The 20,024-nt window shown below is 42.9% G+C and overlaps 1 protein-coding gene and 1 long non-coding RNA gene across 7 annotated transcripts in view, besides 17 other annotated features; both read right to left on the bottom strand.

Moving 5' to 3' along the window:
- Nucleotides 1-20,024, bottom strand: part of SOX2-OT (SOX2 overlapping transcript) — a 685,549-nt gene that overhangs the window by 23,618 nt on the left and 641,907 nt on the right. For 2 of the 6 annotated variants that reach the window (NR_075091.1, NR_004053.3), the window contains 2 exons: nt 18,728-19,013; nt 3,319-3,426 (listed from right to left, as the gene is read on the bottom strand). The exons of 2 other annotated variants lie outside the window; for them this stretch is intronic. This is a non-coding gene — a long non-coding RNA (SOX2 overlapping transcript). The remainder of the gene's footprint in view (nt 1-3,318; nt 3,427-18,727; nt 19,014-20,024) is intronic. 2 more of the 6 variants (NR_075092.1, NR_075089.1) reach the window with 1 other exon arrangement.
- Nucleotides 2,202-3,182: an enhancer, noted in NCBI's record as "OCT4-NANOG-H3K27ac hESC enhancer chr3:181433217-181434197 (GRCh37/hg19 assembly coordinates)". NCBI's record gives its function as "activates a minimal SCP1, AML or CMV promoter by ChIP-STARR-seq in primed H9 embryonic stem cells {active_cell/tissue: H9 hESC(primed)}" and the evidence as "EXISTENCE:reporter gene assay evidence [ECO:0000049][PMID:30033119]".
- Nucleotides 2,363-2,554: an enhancer, noted in NCBI's record as "SRR2 fragment used in the Sp-SII and SI-Sp-SII reporter constructs". NCBI's record gives its function as "activates the -789 to +253 SOX2 promoter by reporter assays in PA-1 teratoma cells {active_cell/tissue: PA-1}" and the evidence as "EXISTENCE:reporter gene assay evidence [ECO:0000049][PMID:23796710]".
- Nucleotides 2,458-2,461: a transcriptional cis regulatory region, noted in NCBI's record as "POU binding site bases mutated in the Sp-SII PM reporter construct". NCBI's record gives its function as "important for activity of the -789 to +253 SOX2 promoter in PA-1 teratoma cells {active_cell/tissue: PA-1}" and the evidence as "EXISTENCE:site-directed mutagenesis evidence [ECO:0005528][PMID:23796710]".
- Nucleotides 2,467-2,472: a transcriptional cis regulatory region, noted in NCBI's record as "HMG binding site bases mutated in the Sp-SII HM reporter construct". NCBI's record gives its function as "important for activity of the -789 to +253 SOX2 promoter in PA-1 teratoma cells {active_cell/tissue: PA-1}" and the evidence as "EXISTENCE:site-directed mutagenesis evidence [ECO:0005528][PMID:23796710]".
- Nucleotides 4,175-6,686, bottom strand: SOX2 (SRY-box transcription factor 2). The gene has a single exon (NM_003106.4). The coding sequence runs from the start codon at nt 6,248-6,250 to the stop codon at nt 5,297-5,299; it is 954 nt and encodes a 317-aa protein (NP_003097.1). The 5' UTR covers nt 6,251-6,686; the 3' UTR covers nt 4,175-5,296.
- Nucleotides 4,845-5,696: an enhancer, noted in NCBI's record as "OCT4-NANOG-H3K27ac-H3K4me1 hESC enhancer chr3:181430703-181431554 (GRCh37/hg19 assembly coordinates)". NCBI's record gives its function as "activates a minimal SCP1, AML or CMV promoter by ChIP-STARR-seq in primed H9 embryonic stem cells {active_cell/tissue: H9 hESC(primed)}" and the evidence as "EXISTENCE:reporter gene assay evidence [ECO:0000049][PMID:30033119]".
- Nucleotides 5,697-6,550: an enhancer, noted in NCBI's record as "OCT4-NANOG-H3K27ac-H3K4me1 hESC enhancer chr3:181429849-181430702 (GRCh37/hg19 assembly coordinates)". NCBI's record gives its function as "activates a minimal SCP1, AML or CMV promoter by ChIP-STARR-seq in naive H9 embryonic stem cells {active_cell/tissue: H9 hESC(naive)}" and the evidence as "EXISTENCE:reporter gene assay evidence [ECO:0000049][PMID:30033119]".
- Nucleotides 5,697-10,763: a biological region, named in NCBI's record as "SOX2 5' regulatory region". NCBI's record gives its function as "regulatory_interactions: LOC108281178 | SOX2".
- Nucleotides 6,425-7,458: a promoter, noted in NCBI's record as "-789 to +253 SOX2 promoter fragment used in reporter constructs". NCBI's record gives its function as "drives SOX2 gene expression in MCF-7, T-47D, MDA-MB-231, MDA-MB-436 and ZR-75-1 breast cancer cells {active_cell/tissue: MCF-7 | T-47D | MDA-MB-231 | MDA-MB-436 | ZR-75-1}" and the evidence as "EXISTENCE:reporter gene assay evidence [ECO:0000049][PMID:23796710]".
- Nucleotides 6,551-7,403: an enhancer, noted in NCBI's record as "NANOG-H3K27ac-H3K4me1 hESC enhancer chr3:181428996-181429848 (GRCh37/hg19 assembly coordinates)". NCBI's record gives its function as "activates a minimal SCP1, AML or CMV promoter by ChIP-STARR-seq in primed H9 embryonic stem cells {active_cell/tissue: H9 hESC(primed)}" and the evidence as "EXISTENCE:reporter gene assay evidence [ECO:0000049][PMID:30033119]".
- Nucleotides 6,786-6,845: a silencer, noted in NCBI's record as "silent region_14929". NCBI's record gives its function as "represses an Ori minimal core promoter by ATAC-STARR-seq in GM12878 lymphoblastoid cells {active_cell/tissue: GM12878}" and the evidence as "EXISTENCE:reporter gene assay evidence [ECO:0000049][PMID:35858748]".
- Nucleotides 6,935-6,959: a protein binding site, noted in NCBI's record as "Stat6 A probe". NCBI's record gives its function as "binds STAT6 in MKN45 cells {active_cell/tissue: MKN45}" and the evidence as "EXISTENCE:protein binding evidence [ECO:0000024][PMID:19520737]".
- Nucleotides 7,404-8,257: an enhancer, noted in NCBI's record as "H3K27ac-H3K4me1 hESC enhancer chr3:181428142-181428995 (GRCh37/hg19 assembly coordinates)". NCBI's record gives its function as "activates a minimal SCP1, AML or CMV promoter by ChIP-STARR-seq in primed H9 embryonic stem cells {active_cell/tissue: H9 hESC(primed)}" and the evidence as "EXISTENCE:reporter gene assay evidence [ECO:0000049][PMID:30033119]".
- Nucleotides 8,424-8,436: a protein binding site, noted in NCBI's record as "HMGA2 probe". NCBI's record gives its function as "binds HMGA2 to positively regulate SOX2 transcription in glioblastoma cells {active_cell/tissue: GBM}" and the evidence as "EXISTENCE:protein binding evidence [ECO:0000024][PMID:24332177]".
- Nucleotides 9,766-10,763: an enhancer, noted in NCBI's record as "OCT4-NANOG hESC enhancer chr3:181425636-181426633 (GRCh37/hg19 assembly coordinates)". NCBI's record gives its function as "activates a minimal SCP1, AML or CMV promoter by ChIP-STARR-seq in naive H9 embryonic stem cells {active_cell/tissue: H9 hESC(naive)}" and the evidence as "EXISTENCE:reporter gene assay evidence [ECO:0000049][PMID:30033119]".
- Nucleotides 10,353-10,749: an enhancer, noted in NCBI's record as "SRR1 fragment used in the SI-Sp and SI-Sp-SII reporter constructs". NCBI's record gives its function as "activates the -789 to +253 SOX2 promoter by reporter assays in PA-1 teratoma cells {active_cell/tissue: PA-1}" and the evidence as "EXISTENCE:reporter gene assay evidence [ECO:0000049][PMID:23796710]".
- Nucleotides 10,356-10,650: a silencer, noted in NCBI's record as "tiled region #720; HepG2 Repressive non-DNase unmatched - State 22:ReprW". NCBI's record gives its function as "represses a minimal TATA promoter and a strong SV40 promoter by Sharpr-MPRA in HepG2 cells {active_cell/tissue: HepG2}" and the evidence as "EXISTENCE:reporter gene assay evidence [ECO:0000049][PMID:27701403]".
- Nucleotides 13,321-13,822: an enhancer, noted in NCBI's record as "H3K4me1 hESC enhancer chr3:181422577-181423078 (GRCh37/hg19 assembly coordinates)". NCBI's record gives its function as "activates a minimal SCP1, AML or CMV promoter by ChIP-STARR-seq in primed H9 embryonic stem cells {active_cell/tissue: H9 hESC(primed)}" and the evidence as "EXISTENCE:reporter gene assay evidence [ECO:0000049][PMID:30033119]".

Raw genomic sequence — 20,024 nt, 5'->3', positions numbered from 1 at the left:
TTCCAATTTAGGTCACAAAAAGAAAGCAAAGCAAAAAAATAAATTAACCCCTATCTCCAACCCTACTTGCTGCCCGAAAAGCAACTCTAGCTTGGAGAGCAAGAAAATGCAGCAGAAAAAAAAAACAGAGAATGAGATGCAAATTATTTTAAGGGAATAATGTGGGTGTGTGGGGTGGGGGTTGTCCGTTGGGGAATGTGAACTGAAGTCTCTGCTAAAGCTCATGGCAAAGGAAACTCCTTCCACAAAGAAAAATATGAGGATCTGTTTTTCAAAATTCTCCAAGATCAATAAATGAAACTGGGGTGAGGTGATGAAAAGTTCTCTTAATTATAACAGATAAATAAATAAATAAATAAATGAGCAGCGTCAATCAGCAGGCGATCAAACCATAGTCAAACTTCAATCTCAGAGCAGTTAGCTATAAACTGTTAGCAGTTGAAAAGTAAACCTCATGCACACAAAGGCACTGTTTAATTTTCATCTTGTAATGGTTCTAAATGAAGACCCCATCACTATGCAGTTAAGCGGTATTTCTTGTCCCCCTGAGGCGCTGATCAGTTCTTTTTAATGTGAGAAAACTGGCAGCTCAAAACCCGTCAATGGAGCTCCCACAACAAAAGTTCTGAAAAGCTGAATGAATTGGGTTTGTAATTACTGTTCCCACCGCCACCCCCCCCACCATTGCAGCTTATCTCTTATTCATTCAATTTATATTATTGTCGAGGAATCTTACCCTCAAAATCATTCCCTTACCATTTTACCTAGGGCCACAGAGGAACCTATGACATGGCAGAAATGGAACACTGGCCCCCCTACTGCACCTTGCAGTGTTCAGACCAATAGGTGGGGAGAGAAGGAGGAACTACCTTGTACCCCAATTTACTCGAGACTACTAGAACTAAGGGTACTCAGCTTATGGAACCTTCCACTTTCAAACTTGCATTTTATTGGCAAACAGGAATGTGTATCCTGTCTAAATTCAGGGCCTCTCTGAGTCTCTGAAATCCTGTGACATCTCTACTTAGAAAAGGCAAAGGTTGTAAATGAGCACCCTCCCCTTTTGCCCCATATTGCAAATCCCTAAAAGACCTTGCCACACATGATGAGGATATTAAGATAAATTACTGTATTCTGTTTTTTTTCTTTTAAACCGAAAAAAACAGCCAGTGAAACAGAAAAAGAGACTATAATTCTGTGCCCCCCACCCCCCACCAGCCCAGGGAAAGGTTTTATGAAAAAGTCAGCTTTAGAATGCCAGGGCTCCGTGTGTATTTCAATCCAAGGTATTGCTGATGGAGAAGATTCTCCTGAGATTTTCCTACTGTAAGAATGTGTCGATTTCTAGAAATAAGTACAGCTATTACCACCAAATCTACTAGCAGTCTAAATAATTAATTGAAGCATTGCTCTTTGACCCTTGAAAAGTCCAGTAGGGACACGTTTATAGCAATAATACCTCCGAATGAGCCCTTGTCAAATATTCATTTAGTGGTTAATGTGAGCCATTTTCCCCTGGGATGGTCTGTAATACCAGCTTCCCAGCATTGGCAAGAAACCTTGCTAATCTACTACAGCTCAGCAAAATATTTTAACGCTCTTTATTTAAAGTATGTGGTGGGGGGGGGGTGGGTGGTTTGGGGAGAGAAAAAAATTTCAGAAAGAACAGACTGTACTCTCATCCTTTTGCACATTTCTATTCTGTGTATATAGTTAACAAAACATTTAAATTCACCCTATTTGACTGGAAATTGAGTGGTTTCATTGAGCAGAATAATATCCCGAGGAAAAGAACTAAACAACAACTATCTTCAGCACCATGAGATAACCATCTCTGGGCAAGTTTATGGGTTTACTCTCCTTGAAAATCACATTATTATTAAAATATTATATGTTCGATATTAATCTAGCCATGAAATTACATATCTCAGGTAACCATTTAATTTAATCAAATGAATGATCGTACAAGATATATATCATTTCCCTCAGATGTAGTTATCAAAAGCATTTATATTTGCAAACAAAATATTTTGACTTTCATTTTTCAACTATTTGGCTCGGCGATATGAAGGGGTAGAAGGGGGAACGGGAGTTCTCTTGTTTTATGCAGATAGTGACAATTATTCAAAGCTAGTTCTACTTCCCAAAATATTGTGCTCCCTTTCCTTTTGCTAAATATTTGAACCTGACCATTTTGCCAGAAAGTTGCTGACCCTGTGGGCTTTTTTTTAAAAAATGAGAGGTGAGTGCAGTGCAATTACTGTAAACCTCTATACATATTTCTAATATATTTCTATTTTCAAAATATATATAATCTATATATTTGACTGCCTCAAATTCCGGGAATATCCTCCCCACTCCCCCAGGATGATCATTTGGATCTTTATTCAAAGTTTCTTTTATTCGTATGTGTGAGCAAGAACTGGCGAATGTGCTCATTACCACGTGAATAATCCGTATATGCATTACAATGGCTGGCCAGGCTAGGGGAAATTCTTTTAGAGTCTCTGCATTAATTAGGGGGGAAAATGCCTTGCTTAGAATTGGGAACTGGAATAATAATTGTCCCTTCCCAGTACAATGTTATCCTAAAAATGAGGATTAAAAAAGTAATAAATAAAAACCAGTACATATCTAAAACAAAGCAATCTAGAAAAAAATAGAAAGTACAGAAAATATGAGATATCCTCAGTTCAGCCCAGAACTAACATTAGCAACACCATGAGAAAGAAATACTTTCTTGGAAATGAGAAGATGCAAACCAACGGGATGAGCTAACTTAGTGGCTGCAGCGGGTACTTTACTCAAGGGTGGAAGACGCTGCCGGATTCCAACTTCTCCAAAGTTGTAGCAAGTTGACACAAGCTCTTGAAATTGTGGGAAGCAAACCCGTGCTCTTAAAAGTGCCCGATTGTTGGTTCCTGGTCCCCGTGGGTGGGGGAAGACGAGCGAATCAAGTAGTAAATAAAGTAGAAAAGTCCCTGACTAGGTAACAGATTATCCGGCTGCCCCAAAGCAAGGGTGGGTGGTGATGCAGAAGCATCGCTAATTCAAAGACCATGGCGATGTCTCAACTTTTCCACTCCCACTGAGGACAACTATAGCCTTTCTTTACCTTTCCTAGGGCAAAAAAAAAAAAAAAAAAAAAAAAAAAAAAAAAAAAAAAAAAAAAAAAAACCACCACACAACAAATCCAATCTTGTTTCCCCACCCCTTTCCCCTCCCCCACTTCTCTACTACAGTAGTAAAACATTGTTAACAGATCAAAAGCATAATCATCTCCAAATGTGATTAGACCGGACAAAGTAAAATATCTACCTCAGAGTTGATTGTTTTCTTCTTTAATATGGCTGTTGCCTGGCTTCTCTTTTGCTTGTTATCAGCTGCAGAGATTATCCGATTTGGGGCTACAGGCTTGGACCCGCGCTGCCAATTTAAGAAATGGAATTCAGGGAGAGAGGGAGAGAGAGGGGAAAAAAGAAAATAAATAATAAAAAAAACTATGTTTATGATAAGCCGGGGAGTTTTGCAAGATGTTCTTTTCTTTCCCTCTCCCCGAACAGGAAAATGTAGAGGAGAAAGTTTATGAAGTCAAGGAACAAAGAAAGCAAACCACTTGTTTCCTCTCAGACAATAGCAGGGCCAGAGTAATCCAAACACCCACCCAGCAGATGAACACTTTGCATGTCTAGTTTGCAATTATTCTGATACAAGAAGCATCATTTTTCTCTATAGCCAGGTTTCAAAGGGCCATTGTGCTGTGAAGAAAATGAAAACAAAACCAGCCAACCTGGTTCTGATTTGGCTCAATATCCCATCTGCTAAACTACATGAAAAATTTCAGAATTGAATCCTTTCTGGCAACAAGTGGCATAAATCAGTTTTAAGTATAGGTCCCCATCATGCTTATTCATGCTGCTTAGAAAAGGAGGGGGCGGATTTACAATATATGTCTCTAGTTTCTATTTTAGAAATGACAGAAATTTCAATTTTTCCAGTACTTATTAATCATCCAGCCGTTTCTTTTTTGCAGTTAACATTAGCACATGATGCTGGACTAGTAATACCAAGGTTTTTGGTATTTTGCTTTCTTGGCTGAGCACAGTATTATAATTCCCCGAAAAGTTATGTATAATCACAGTGTTATCCAAATAAATGAAAGACTCAAGAATAATTTCAGTGTCCATATTTCAAAAATTTATTTATCTCAAACTGTGCATAATGGAGTAAAAACTTAAGTTGAAAATGTACCTGTTATAAGGATGATATTAGTTCAAATATATACATGGATTCTCGGCAGACTGATTCAAATAATACAGAGCCGAATCTTTTAAAATACAACTACGGAAAATAAAGGGGGGAAAACCTTAAAATATCACAATAAATTTACAGAAATATTACAAACCATAAGAAAATATTTCAAACACAGTAATTTCATGGTTTTTTTTATCTGAACAAAATGGAAAGTTGGGATCGAACAAAAGCTATTATAAATTACCAACGGTGTCAACCTGCATGGCCATTTTTGCTTTTAACAGTAAGTTATAAAATTTAGTACAGTCTAAAACTTTTGCCCTTTTTAAACAAGACCACAGAGATGGTTCGCCAGTACTTATTCTAATTTTTTCCTTTTGTACAATTTTTAAACAATTAAAATGTCCAAATTTGAATAATTTTCTTCTTTTCACGTTTGCAACTGTCCTAAATTTCAGCTGCAGAATCAAAATTCAGCAAGAAGCCTCTCCTTGAAAAATATTGGCAAATTCTCAGCTTATAAACAATGGACATTTTGATTGCCATGTTTATCTCGATAAATACTGTACAAAAGTTGCTTGCAAATATTAAAACATTTTTTTCGTCGCTTGGAGACTAGCTCTAAATATTATTGGTAAAGACTTTTGCAAACTTCCTGCAAAGCTCCTACCGTACCACTAGAACTTTTAAAAAGTTTTTCGTAGCTTTCTTTCCTCCAGATCTATACAAGGTCCATTCCCCCGCCCTCCCCACCCTCCCCAGGTTTTCTCTGTACAAAAATAGTCCCCCAAAAAGAAGTCCAGGATCTCTCTCATAAAAGTTTTCTTGTCGGCATCGCGGTTTTTGCGTGAGTGTGGATGGGATTGGTGTTCTCTTTTGCAGCTGTCATTTGCTGTGGGTGATGGGATTTTTTTTTTTCCTTTTTCTTTTTGAGCGTACCGGGTTTTCTCCATGCTGTTTCTTACTCTCCTCTTTTGCACCCCTCCCATTTCCCTCGTTTTTCTTTGAAAATTTCTCCCCCCTCCAGTTCGCTGTCCGGCCCTCACATGTGTGAGAGGGGCAGTGTGCCGTTAATGGCCGTGCCGGGCACCGGGCCGCTCTGGTAGTGCTGGGACATGTGAAGTCTGCTGGGGGCGGCGGGTTCCGGCACCTCGGCGCCGGGGAGATACATGCTGATCATGTCCCGGAGGTCCCCGGCCTGGCAGGGCGCCCTGGAGTGGGAGGAAGAGGTAACCACAGGGGGGCTGGAGCTGGCCTCGGACTTGACCACCGAACCCATGGAGCCAAGAGCCATGCCAGGGGTGCCCTGCTGCGAGTAGGACATGCTGTAGGTGGGCGAGCCGTTCATGTAGGTCTGCGAGCTGGTCATGGAGTTGTACTGCAGGGCGCTCACGTCGTAGCGGTGCATGGGCTGCATCTGCGCTGCGCCGTGCGCATTGAGGCCCGGGTGCTGCGGGTAGCCCAGCTGGTCCTGCATCATGCTGTAGCTGCCGTTGCTCCAGCCGTTCATGTGCGCGTAACTGTCCATGCGCTGGTTCACGCCCGCGCCCAGGCCGGCGCCCACCCCGACCCCGCTCGCCATGCTATTGCCGCCGGGGGCCAGCAGCCCGCCGGGCAGCGTGTACTTATCCTTCTTCATGAGCGTCTTGGTTTTCCGCCGGGGCCGGTATTTATAATCCGGGTGCTCCTTCATGTGCAGCGCTCGCAGCCGCTTAGCCTCGTCGATGAACGGCCGCTTCTCCGTCTCCGACAAAAGTTTCCACTCGGCGCCCAGGCGCTTGCTGATCTCCGAGTTGTGCATCTTGGGGTTCTCCTGGGCCATCTTGCGCCGCTGCCCGCGGGACCACACCATGAAGGCATTCATGGGCCGCTTGACGCGGTCCGGGCTGTTTTTCTGGTTGCCGCCGGCCGCCGCCGCGGTGGAGTTGCCGCCGCCGCCCCCCGAAGTTTGCTGCGGGCCCGGCGGCTTCAGCTCCGTCTCCATCATGTTGTACATGCGGGCGCTGTGCGCGGGCCCGGCCCGCCGGCGGCCGCCGACCCTCGGCCCGGCCGGGACTTTGGGGGGCCCGCGGGCGGGGGGAGAGGAGGAGGGGAGGCGGGCGGGGGTGTCGGGAGCGCAGGGCTCCGCGAGGAAAATCAGGCGAAGAATAATTTGGGGGAAAAAAAGAGAGAGGCAAACTGGAATCAGGATCAAAAAAAGCGCTTCCCTCCTCCTCTGGCCGATCCTGCCGCCGCCGATGATTGTTATTATTATTTTTTGGAAAGGCTTAAGCCTGGGGCTCAAACTTCTCTCCCTTTCTTTCTCTCTCCTCTTCTTTCTCTCAGTCCTAGTCTTAAAGAGGCAGCAAACTACTTTCCCCCTTTTGCAAACACTCTCTTCTCTGCCTTGACAACTCCTGATACTTTTTTGAACAAGTTAATAGACAACCATCCATGTGACGGGGGCTGTCAGGGAATAAATGGGTTTCTAGCGACCAATCAGCGCGCGGCGGCTCCTCCACTCGAGCCCAGCCTCGCTGCCGGGTTTTGCATGAAAGGGGGCGGGGCCTCCCGCGCCGCCGGCCGCGCGGGGGAGGCCGGGGGAGGAGGGGGCAGGCGAGGAGGGGGAGGAGGCTCCCAGAGCCAGCCTGCCAGCCACTGAGAAACCTTTGTATCCCCTCTCGCAGCAACAGGTCACACCACACGCCTTTTCGAAGGAAGTGGGTAAACAGCACTAAGACTACGTGGGTTTTTTTTTCTTTAAACTTAATATTGATTTACTTTTTGGTGCAGGGTACTTAAATGAGGATGGGACGCGGGAAGCAGCTAAGGTGCGGGGGTGGGGCAGGGCACAGTGGGTGGCTCAGGGCGGCTGTCCAACTCGTATTTCTGGAAACAGCCAGTGCAGGAGTTGGTGTGTCATTGTTCTCCCGCTCATCCACAGCACTCCCCCCCAACTCCAGCCCCTCTGGTGCCGCTCCCGTACTGCGCTCTTCCGCTCTCCTCTCTTACCTTACAGGTGCCAACACTCTCTCACGCCCTTCTCACAGTCCCGACTAGAAGTTAGGAGACCCAAACCTCTGTCCTCAAAACCTTCCTTGCTTCCACGTAACTTGCTCTGTTCTTAAAAATAAATCCTGCTCGGACCATAAGGCAGACTCTAGAGCTGAGAACCAGCAGGCCTTGGTAAGCTGCCATCTCCCTGTCCAACTCAGCTCTTTGGCCCAGGAAACTGCAGCTCTTCCTCTTAGCCCCAGCCACATCTCCCACTAGACTGTCTTCATTCAACCGTAGCAAAGGGGATGCTTCTACTGTCTGCCCCCACTCCCCATTCCCATCCCATGCCTCCCCGTAAGAAGGGTTTCGGTCGTGCGGCTTTCAAATGGGGGCTGGGGAAAGACACAGACGGAAGGGCGCTCAAAAGTGCAGGCGATGGGGGAGGGTGATTTCAACTTCCTGGCATCCCACGGCACTGTATGGAGGTGGCTTTTGGGCCGCAGTCACAAACTCCCTCCCACGCAGAGTTCCCAGGACTCCAGCAGAACCAGCCCTGGCATTTTCCCCGTAGATTTCCATTGTGGTGGCCGCAAAGCCCAGGCCGCGCAAGGCTGGGGCTGCGCCGCAAAGGGGCTCAAGGCCTGGGAGGCGGGGTCGATGCTCTCCAGGCACAGGTGCAGGCAGCGCACACTGGGAGAAGGCGGCCGGGACTGGGGAAGGGGGAGCCCAGCAAGGCCCGGGTTAGAGGAGGATGAGATGGGGGCGGGGGTAGGGGCTCAGGAATCTTGCCCGCCCAGGACCCAAGAGGGTAATTTTAGCCGCTCTCCCATTGTCCCGACGTAAAGATTTCAATAGGTAGGCGCTCAATGCGGAGGGCAATGGCAGCACGTCCGTTACAAATAGGTAGTTTTGTTTCTCTTGTTGTCGCTACACGGAGTCAAACAAAGCCTCGTCTAAGTTTCCTTCCACTCTCTTGTTGGGATCTTTGTGGCTAAAATGCACTTGACTACAAAGGGTGGGGTGGGGGGGAATAAAGAAAAAAAAACCTGATGCCATTTCTTTTTTATAAAGGGCTTAAACCATCAGGGTTACTTATTTTCTTTCTTCTGTAACACTCTCTCCGCCCCCTCCTCCCCTGGTCTACCCTTACTCACCCTAAGAAAATGTACTGAATAGTATCTACCAGCCACGTTCCATTTATTATCTTTACAAAACGGTGCATTGTTTTGTTCCTTACTAACCTTCTTCCCATAATCACTCCCCCGACCCCCAATTTCTCCAATCTCTGCCCTCCCTAGCCTGTTACTGTCAAACTCACACTAAATATACCCACTGGAAACTCAGAAAAGTTGTAAAAAAAAGAATTCTGCAGACTTTCCTTAAGTTATTTCCAATCAACCTTCCTGCCCCCCGAAGGTTCTCCTTTTTCTCTCAAGTTATGGCTTGTTTTAGTTCTTGGGAACCCGGAAAGGGTGAGATTGGGTTTCTCAAAATGCATACATATTCGGCGCTCTTCAAAATACAGCACTGTTTTCTGTTTAATCCAGGTGTAATATTAAGGTAAACACGGACCTGGAGATTAGGAAAGAGAAAAGGTTGAGAAGATCTGGGGAAGAGAAGGCGGCCACCGGCTTTTCAGCGCGGCTGGTTTCAGGGATGTGGCTGGTGCGCCCCCTGCTGGTAGATTCGCTTTTCCAAGACTATTGCTTTTACCTTTAAAAGAAGGTATTTGAAAATAATTAAAGTAAAAAAAAAAAAAAGAGGGGGATGGAAGATCAGACTAATTATACATAATCTAAACAAAAGAAAAGTTAACATATCTTATAAGCTGCGGAACCAAATCATAAGAATCAGATTTAATTTGCCTAACTTAGAAATATACATACAACCTCGAGGTAAGTGGGAGGTTAGACCATGGGAAAAAATAGGTACAAATTATGAGATTCAACATGTGAATGAATTATGATTGTCCAGACGCCACAAAGGGCAGACCAAGAATTCACTTTATGATTGTGTATGCATCGGTCTGCTTAATAGCATTATTCTAAAAACTTTAAAAAGCTTGTGGATAATTGTTTGAAGAAACAACCAAGGAATTGGTGTGGATAAGGGTGGTGTATATTTGTTAAAATAAATACTAATAACAGACGGTTATAGACACAAATCTTTTAAATCTCGTTGCCTTTCTCTCAAGGCACAATTTTTTTCCTTGGGAGGATATATAACAACTTTTACACATTCTCAGATGCATGTGTTTGTGCATGAACTCTATAATAATGTATTTAAGAGGTTAAAGGGGTTGGCTAGGTCTTTTATTAATTGCTTTTATCACATTAATAAGCTATGGAATTACGTTACAATTGTGTTATCATTGGTTGCATTTATTTACAGCTTTATTTTAATTAAGCCTGCTGTACTTATCGAGACAATAAACTAACTGTGGCTGGCGATTATGCATAATAATGTGCTATGAAAATAAGATTAAAGAAGATGGTGATAGCAGGAACATTTTCTCATTAGATTTTTTAGAACATATGCATTTTAAAAAATCAGATCACTGCCCACTCTATTTCAATCCAGCACCATCACTGATCCCTAAATATAATAACTATAACGATTCCAATAGATGACAGAAGCAACACTGTTTTAGGTTTGTAATAGACAGCTACAGTACTAACAACAATATACCATTGACTACTAGACAATCAAAAAAGACTTGGAACAGGATGCTTCATCCTCTGAGAATCTAAAATGTTGCCATTGGCACAATTTACGAAAATTGAAAGTGCTTAATCTAAAGGGAGTGTAACACTTCCCTTCCACGGGCAACAAAAAGCTACATACTTTTAGAGCAAGATTAGTAGTTAGTAACAAAAATGCATGACTCCTGGAATATTCTGATTTTATTTTGTTCTATTATAGGCCCTAGCCAAAAGGCCTTAACTGTTAAGTGTAACTCAATTTTATTTCAAAATCTTGCACATTGATTTTTCTCTCCTAAAGTCTCCTCAGCACTCCTCAAGTATTATATCTGAAACCAACTAACAATTTTGTGGAGACAGGGGACTGTAGACTTATTTTTTCTTCTTAGTGTCAAATAGAGGTTTAACTTGCAGTAATTAGGTGAGAACTAGCCAAGCATCTTACTATTATGATGCTTGTTAAAAAACGCTTCTTTTCTGCATCTGCATTTGAGTGTGTTCCCCTCCTCTCTTAATCTTCTTATGGAAATGAAGGCAAACGGCAGGGAACCTGCAGAGTCTTGGAGAATGTCCTTGTTAACTGGAATTTCTCAGCATTGCTAATTAGCAGAGTTTGACGACCACCAGTATTGGGGGAAAGCTCTGTTTAACCACTCACAAACCATTCTGAGGAAGAGCAGACTAATTTTATTTTGTAATTAAAATCTGAAAAGGGCCCTATTTGACAGTTAGGGCTATGAGAGTTTTATCTCCCCGTGAAATAATTACTGCCTTGATAACTCAATTTTCTGAAAAATGTCAACTGTAGGCTCCAAAAGTTTTAATTTCATTATGTAAGGAAAAAAGTGAGAAAAATAGAAGAAAATGTACAGAAAGGTTTTCTAATTCTAGAACTGGTTAAATATACAAGCAGCCAGATGTGGTCAAATGAAGGTTTTTTTTTTTCTTCCCTTTTTTGTCATGTTTCCTCCAAATCCTAACCTTCCCACAATCTCCTCTAAAAGTGACCATAGCAGCAATCATACTGCAGTGAAAGAGATCATACCAGTAGTCTGGTAAGTGAAAAGAAAACAAAATTAAAAAGCTAAGTGCAGCAACTGGAGAAAATTTTCTAATTTTAAAGGCCAAAAATAAAGGAAAATTTAAATGTTTAGGACAATGCTGGTACAATTTGGTGAGATGATATTTATATTTATCCTGTAATACAAGAAAATTGAGAATTTCAGAGTAAGGAGACTGGCATAAGCCAATTTTTAAAACATTTCCTTCTCCTCTGTAAGTCACAAAAGATCTCAGTCACTTCAAATTGGAGCATGCTACACGACTTCCGGAATGACCAAAGCTTGATTCTTCATTTCAGAAACAAACACATATAAATGAAGGTAAATAAGTGCATTAGAAGATTTTTTTTCCCTTAAAAGAGCATTGCATACTTTCCAAAAACAATTAACAAGAAATAAGCTGGAAAAGGTTAGGATATAGAAAGTAAGAGCAAAAATTCAAAACTGAATTGTACCATTGTCAAACTTCATTTCCTTTAGACTGTGAAGGATCCCTCATAGGAATTCCTAGAGGGGATAGACATCTTAATTTTTATAACACAATTTTCAAAATGATAGAAACTCTTTCATCTACATTTCCCCCATTTTTTTCCTATGTCAAACTTGTCAGATTTTGGAAGTGTGAAGGATTAGTGACAGTAACTATAATGAATGTTTCCAGATGATAAAAAGAATAAACATATATCTCTATCCCTTTCTATTTACTAAGATAGAGATATGCATATGGCTGCATGGTACATTGGCAATTTCAAATTGCTTAATCATATTTTTTTCTTCTTGTCTGTCCCTTCAGCACCTTGCCTTTAATTTCCAGAAGTGGTATTACACTTAACAAATGAACAAGGGATAACAATTGCTGTTTCAGTCCAGACCCAATTTCACCAAATAATTTCACTCAAGAGCTGTAAGTACCCTTGAAACCTAAGGAATGCAGAACAGCTTTGCATTCAGCTCCCCTTTTTACTCATTCTCTCTCATCTAATTCTCATTGATGAAATAAATACATTTTGAAAAGAATTCAATAGTTATAAAACTAAATATATTTCCCCTTACTTTAAATTATAGCAACAGAAGTAGTATATAATCATTTGTGTAGGTCTTTCAAGCTGCATATAATAATCATCATGTTACTTACAGTATTATATATGAACATCCTTCTTATATTCTAGCTCAAATATTTTCTGGAGAAATTAATTCACAATTTCATTTCCATTTCTGAATTATCAAGCAATTTTAATGTAAGTTAAGATTCTATCCCTGCACTACAGCTGTTGTCCAGGAGAAAATGTAGTGTGACCATTAAATGATTTAATTATTTTAAATATAAATTCCCTTTAAAAACATAAACTGAAAACCTGAAGAGCTGCCATCAGTGGTTTTCAGTTGCATTAAATCTATGACTTTTATTTTTAAAATTAGAAGAAAATTTTTTAAAAGGCAAAATGATCAGTAGGAACTCCAGGTAGCCCAAAAAGCCACTGGACCTTTTACACCTGTAAATCATTGCTTGAGTCTAAATACATATGTCTCTGATTGACCACACTATCTTATGCAATTAATTATACCAAAGGAAAAGGTTTTCCTTAGAATCCCAATTTTCCAGTGGCTAGGGTTATTACCCTCATTTTAGAGAAAAAACAGTTGTTTTAAATTCTCCAACTGTGATTACTTCGTTTAGTTGTGACCACAACTTTTGTGGGAAAAACAAACCTACACTTTCCTTAACCTTTCTCTAGCCAGTATTAAATGACACTCCAGTGAAGGCTGGGCTACCCTTTCACTGCAAGGACAATTTACCAAGCAGGGAAAACCTCTTTCCCTTAGCCTGGCCCCTGCCACACCGCATAAATGGAATTTAGTCTTCTTTCTTCTGGAATCTTATGGAACATACTGCTACTGTGTTATCCACAAGTTCCCTTTCCAGAATTACAGTTGGACTCAATACAAACCACAAAAGTGATAAAATCTCAGAGGGCTGATGTGTTTGGCACCCAAAAAAACAAGTTGGGGAAAGAAATTAGATCTACGTAACATGTGAGGGACAGACAGGAATACTATCAGAGGAAAAGGAAGAAAGCTTTCACCTGTGGCATGAAAAGAAGTTAAAGCAAACCATTGGAAAAAAAAAGTCATCCTACAATCACCATCATCCCTAAACGAAACTATTACCACTTTTTTCAAAGATCTGCAGCTGCGGCTTGCCCTGGAAAGTGCTCTAAATCAAAGTGTACACCCATCCTGGGCGGGCTGGCATCCTCAAGGCCTCCCATTGACATCTAGAACCCTCTCCCAAAAGCTATTCCGGCCTCAAAAGAAATGCCTGAGAAGTCGGCCTTCCCAGGGGCCCACTTCTGCTTGCCCCCAGCGCCCCTCTTCCAGTCCTGGCTCAGATGGAGTTGGGTTTCCAAACCCATCCCAATGGAATTCTCAGATCGCTGGCCTGATAATCTTTAAAGGCTCCTTCGGAGCTGGGGCTCTGACTTTTATCTTCCCTCCCACCCTTCTTCCCTTTTTGCTGGCTCTCCCCACTCCTTTTTCGTCTCGCCCCACCTCCCCTCCTTAATTTGAAGATCATTGACACGATAGGCTGTAATGAGTCCTTCAGAAACTGTTATGATCTACAGTGACAATCTCTGCACCTAATTCACAGATTATTGACAAGCACCGTGGGCTCAATGGTGTCAAGTTGTACTTGTGGTTTCAACACCCCGCAGCAACCCACGTAGCCGCTGGGCCCTGGATTAGGACCCCCAGTCTGGCAGTGCTTATCTGCCCGTCTGAGTGATGGAGAGATGAGTATCAGTCTATACCTCAACTGCTTCAAGCCCGCCTGGGCTTTCTCCCTGGCGCCTTTGTCTGTGTCAGGGTTGGAGCAACGAAACTGAAAGATCTCCAGAGTTTGAAAACAGAGTGAAAGAGCAAATTTAATAAATGAGAGCTCAGCCTTGAATCTTAGTCTTTATTAATAGAGTCATGTCCCTCACACCCAAATAACTATCAAACTTCAAACCACATGTACTGTTTTTCAGAGTTCGGGTTCTTTCCTGGGTTCATCATGAAAGGTGTGAGGGATGAAGGGGAAAAGGGTCTGAGGAGTTGGCAGGGTCTCAGTGGGCCTAAGCTAAGTGGGCCCATCCGCCTGGATAGTCCTCAGAATCCAGCAAGATTGGTTACTTACAAAGCAGGGCGCCCAGCCAACCCGCGCGGGCTCAGGCCTGGACGCTGGGACAGGAGACCAAAAATGCCCGCCCCGCCCCTAAAGGGCGCTTTGCCGCCGCGGAGAAACGCGGCCCGTTGCCAGCCGCTGCGGTTTTCCCTGCTACTAAGGAATCAAGTCACTCGCTGCCCCCTCCTCAGCCCTCAAAGATGGAGGGGCTGCCTTCCTGCTGGCGGCCTTGGGGAGTGGGATTCGGGCAGGTGCTGGGGCCCCCTGGGACCACAGAAATAACACTGCGTCGGGAGAGCTGGGTGGCATTCCCAGGCCTGGGCCACCCACTTGTTTAGCTCTCTTTCCTCAACTAGGGGTTATGCTTTCTCCATGGGCCCTAGAAAGTTGGGCACTCGCTCCCGGCACGCCCACCCGCCCTCAGCCAGGTGCGGCTTCTCCCTCCTGCCTTCACCCAACAACCTGCTACCCCACAGGCTGGGATCCCTGGGTGCGGAACGGGGTGGAAATCTCCAGGACTCTGCTATTGCACGTTCGACATCACTTCCGAATAGCAGGCATATACTCTCTTTCTGGCGTCGCCTCCAACATTTTGCTGGCTTTGGCCTCCCTACCCCACGGGCTGCGGGAACCACTGAGCAGCCTTCGGACCTCGGCTGTCAGCGCACCGTTTCTTACCTTATCGGTTGGCGCGGGTTCACAAAACTAGCACCGACTATATTATTTCTGTAATGGGGACAAGCCTTTTGGTAGAGCAAAAGGTGGGGGTGCTGTGGCTGGAATCCCGCTTGCCTGTCTTTTCCATAGAATTCGGGGTAGAGATTTTATCAAAAGGCTTGATTCTTCTCTCCTTCCATTGCATCTGAACCTACTTACTAAAAAACCTAAGCCGAGATCTAATTCTGGAACCAGATGGAGAAGTCATCTCTCATCGCACTAAATAGCAATTCCCCTTGAAATGTTATCTCGAATTCGCTAATTTTGGGAGGTGGGAAGAATAAACATAAAGGTATCATAAACCTTGCATAGCCATAGTATTCAATATTTTAAAAAGCCATTCTTTTATGAAAAATTAAGCCGATTTCCGTCAATAAGCAAACTTTAAAAACGCGATCTCTAAACTTCTTAAGGGTAAAGTTAAAATCAATAACCATAACCCTGAAGATGTAAATCTTAAAACATCTTGTTCATTTAGCACAGTAATTATTTCTATTTGATTTTAAACAATTAAGCAAACCCACATTTCCCTATTGTTTTAAATTCAGAGGATGTGCCATTTTTACAGTTTCTCTTTCTGAAATAATTCAAAGGCTACTTTTGCCCTCACTTGCTGACCAAAAAGAAGAAGAAGAAATAATAATAATAAAAAAGGCAAAGCTCTTTATTATGTAGACAGGTAGTTTTTTGGAAGTGTAAAAATACTCCCCCTTCCCTAGGATAATTTGGATTCCTGGTCAACGAAATGCTGAATTTCAAAGAAAACCTTCCCTACCATTGGCACACCTTCCCCGAAATCCTACGGCTAAGATGAAAGAAAAAAGATACCAGGCACCTGTTTCTTAGCCAGTATGTGTTTCTTAGCCAGTATCTGGGAAGGAAAAACTTTGACCAGGATTGGTCTAGGGGATGGGAAACACTCAAAGAAGAGACTGGTCTTTTAATTATACTCTGGAAATAAACACATAAAAGCAAGTTATTTCGTTTACTCGAAGGCTCAGTTACGATACTTGCAGGACCTCTGAGGGCATTCAAGACGCTGCTGACAACGTCAAAACAGCAAGCAGCAGCATCTTCCGTTTAATTTTTTGAAATGTGGACAAAACGGAGGAAGTATACTTTGCTTGATTCTCCACGGCTACAGAAAAATGCTTTGTTTTTCGTCACTTTTCTTTACCTGTTTTACCATCGCAGAACCTTTCAAAAGAGTTACAAAACCAAACCGGGTGGGGGATGGCTGGGATGTGAGGAGGACAGTCTTTATTTTTTATTGAATTAAAATTGTAGTATCGCCTCTTTAGTTTTTTATTGAGTTAATATTATATTATTTTTCAAGGATATAAAAATTTGTTTTCGCATCCCGTTTCTTTTTTGGAGGGCAATAAAAGAGTTTTCTCTAACCCCAGAGCAGGATTCCAGCGATTTCTGGGACTGGCGCTGCGCAGCTCCTACTGTGTCCAACAGGGGGCGCTGGGCACGAACCTGCGCAGCGGCTCAGTGCCGCTTCACATCTGAGTCGGGTTCCAGCCCCGGAAGGCGAGAGCCGCTCGCGGGGTCGAGTACAGAGCTTTAGTCTTCGTGGATAAAAAGAGATTAAAGGCTAAATTCTTTTTTGGGGATATGTGTGTGTGTGTGTGTGTGTGTGTGTGTGTGTGTGTGTGTTGGTGTGTGTGTGTGTATATGTGTGTATGTGTGTGTGCGCGCGCGCGCATGGGGGGGTGGTTATCAATTTTAACCAACTACGAAAATGCAGAGCTTTTTATCCTTTGATGTTCTCATAAAGAAACTCCTATCGGATGAGAAATTACACGGTTTCTGAGCCAACACTGCAGCTATAGTGTGGGGGAAATTATTTAATTAAAAATATATTTTTCCATCTGTTCACATGATCTTTTTAGAAGTACTTAAAAAGCTGACACTGATCCCTTTGGCCTGTTAACCTTGCCCCCAGTTTCAAATACTTTTAACTATATCGAAGGCCTTTCTATTAATTTGAAGGAGAAAAAAAGGAGACCTAAATATTTAAATCACCCCTAAATAGTTACTCCTCTGCACTCCCCCGTCCCACCCTTTCTTTAAACAGGGGCTTTTATGTGAGTGACACATTTCACACTTCCGATTCTGCAAAGCCAGGTATAAATGACAAGGAGCGGCTCTAAATAATAATAATAATAAAATCTAATTTGGGACTACATAACACCCAAGTAGAGTAGAAGATCTAAATAAAATTGTAATCCACCCACCCACCCCCCCCCAACCCAACTTAAAAAAAAAAAACCCTTCACCTGTATTTAAATAGCGTGTCTTTAATTACAGCAGTTGGGGATGCATGAGGCTGAAATGAAATTAGCAGTCATTACCAGTCCTTTAACTCTGTGGTGCTTTTGATCAGCACTAAATTAGCTTTCCAGTCCTAACAAAGACTCTACAGCAAGCAGTGGGCTGTAAATAAGACAGCGCGACCTGCCCTCAACACCTTTTCTCTTGTCAATCATAGCTCTATCATTCAGCCCAAGATTAACCTTTATCTATCAAATTAAAAAAAAAGAAAAGAAAAAAGAAGGAAAGAAAGAAGAAAAAGAAAAAAGAAAAAGAAGGCGGGAAGGAAAGCCCCCTGACCACCACATGTCGCAATAACAGAGGTTCCCAAGAGCCCCCTTAAAAGTGTATTATAATGAGCCCATGTCAGAATCTGCAATTTCCAAATCATCCCTTCCTACTCCACCCCCTACACCTCTCGAGTATGTTAGAAGAGTCAGAATGCTGTTCAGGTAGGAAACGAATCCTACACCCTCTCCCCCGCCCGCAATGGCTAATTGGGCGTGGACCACCCTCCATAAGTCAATTTGCCATTAGCCTGTCCTCTTCTATTAGTCTAACAAGATTTAGGGAGAGGAGGGGATGTTTGAGGAGGAAACACTGGTGAGTTTAAGACATATATATATAAGTTCCTAGGCTGAAAACAATCAATTTACTCCACTAATAGTCTCTAGTTTCTAAGTCTGCGGAGGAAAAAAACCAACAGCAATAACAAAAACCCAGCTGCTTTTCCCAGTACTGCATTACGAAAGTAAAACATTGGTTCAAGTTGCCATTAGAGGGCGCCAAAGAGCAAGCCCCATCACCCCTCGCTCGACTTCCCGCAGAAACCCTCCCACCTTCCAGCTTCGCCATGCTCTGTAATTCCTTCTCTCAGGTAATATTTCCTGCTTATTCTGCCCCCATGCATTTCTATCTTCCTCTATGTCAATCTCTTATAAAAAACGAGGTATCGCCATGTCCCCTTCCTCTTGTTTTGCAACTTCCCCCTACCCGTAACCACCACCAAAATAGTTAAGACGCCGATTGAAGTAGTAGCAACCCCTTAATGATATGTACCTTTTGAATCAAATCACTCTTTCCATTTAGTAACATTGGTCTGGAAGAGGTTCTTTATGGGGGTGAAATGCTAGAGTTTAACATTTTTAAGATGGAAGCCTGAATTTTTCATTAGTGGGTTTCTTTCTGGGGGCTCACAGATCTATTTCTTCAGTTTCATAGTAAAAGAAACACACCCTTGTAAGACAACTGATTAAGTTCAGTACCAAAACCGTCCAAAATAGGATGAAATAATGTCATTTCATTTCTGCATTTGTTAAATCTAAATTAGAATTTAATTCCAAAAGTTAACGCTTTCAGACTTAAATCTACCAGTGTTAAATGACTGCCACACAGGGTGTATTTCCAGATCTCTTAAAGGTCAAAAGAAAAAAAAAAAAAAGAAAGAAAAACAGAATGAGTGGGGAAGAAAGTGAGGTGGGGGGAGGAGTGAGCTAGCAGTGAATGTCAAAGTTGGGTTGCAAGCTACTTACATGTCCATGCCAGATCAGGGTGTTGTCTTGTAGCAGTTTGATTGGCAGGTAAAAAAGCGAAAGAACGTGAGGGCTCCCTGAGCCTCTTGTCAGCCCAAGCTTGATCACTTCTCACCGGACAGAACCAGTTGAAGGAGCTTGCAGTTCCCCTCTCGTCCTTCATCCAAGGCACCGTGAATCCATTTCGGCTTTTCTTCCCCCCAGTCTTTCCATCAGCCTCCTGCCTTCACCCACATCGCCTTACACCAGCCTCCAAGACCTAGCCTAGCTTTGCCACTGCAATCCCCTGCAACAAGAAAAATCGTTTATGGCTTAAAACCCCAAATGGCTGATTTTTTAAAAGAGAGAGAGAGAGAGAGAGGGAGAGGGAGAGAGAGAAGAGAGAGAGGGTGAGGGGGAGAGAGAGGGGGAGCGAGAAGAATGCACCCAGAGAACAACAAAAAAGTCAGTTATCCTAACACTGCTCTATCCCCCCACCGTACAGAAGAAGAATAAAAAAAAAAGCTTTATGTTTTTTCAGTGGGTATTCAAAGATAATTTGATGCCATTGTTTCTGCTACAGATGGTTCTTTTAAATACAATAACACGGCTCTTTGTGCAGGCTACCCACAATAAAAATCGAAAGCGTTCCCCTGAATAACCATTTTGTTCTCTCTTGTATGGGGCCAACAAAAGATGCCGTGAGGTAATGGGTTCTGTTTATTGAAGCCATAGAATAGGGGTTTGATAAAGATTTTTTTAAAGCAGAAGACCTTGCAAGGTCGGGCTGATCTCTTCATATTTTTTTATTACAATATTTGTCCAATAGATTATTCCTTGGTGCAGCTGCAGGTTTCCTCCTCAATTCTTAATCAGCCCAAACATCTGTCTCTTTGAGGAGGCTTTTAAAAATCTACAATTGTATCATTGGTGCAGTAACCTTATCAAACCCTGAGTTTTTAGGCTCAGTACAGGCAAAGGCAATGAAGTTTCAATTCTATTTGGTCCTGGTGGGGTGAGGCAGAGGGTTGGGGGAGAGGAGATAAGCAACCCCAGATAGAGTGACTGAAAAAAAAATGAGGCTTTACTCTCCCCCACTCTCTGGTTGGCCGTGCACAACTGTATGAGCCAGACACACAGATCACTGAGGGCTTCTTTCATCCCAAGGTGTTTCTCCCCATCTCTGCAAGACCCCGCCAGTATGCGCATGCTAGACAGGGGCTAGGCATGTTTTCTTAACATACTTGCCCTTTCCTCCAGTAAGGTCTCCAATCCTGGAAAACCTAGGATGGGAGCCCAGTGGGAGGAGTGGAACAAG

This window comes from Homo sapiens, chromosome 3 (genome assembly GCF_000001405.40).
Source record: "Homo sapiens chromosome 3, GRCh38.p14 Primary Assembly".
Lineage (NCBI taxonomy): Eukaryota > Metazoa > Chordata > Mammalia > Primates > Hominidae > Homo > Homo sapiens.
Note: the sequence above shows the minus strand (reverse complement) of the source record. Positions and strands in the feature narration are given on the sequence as shown.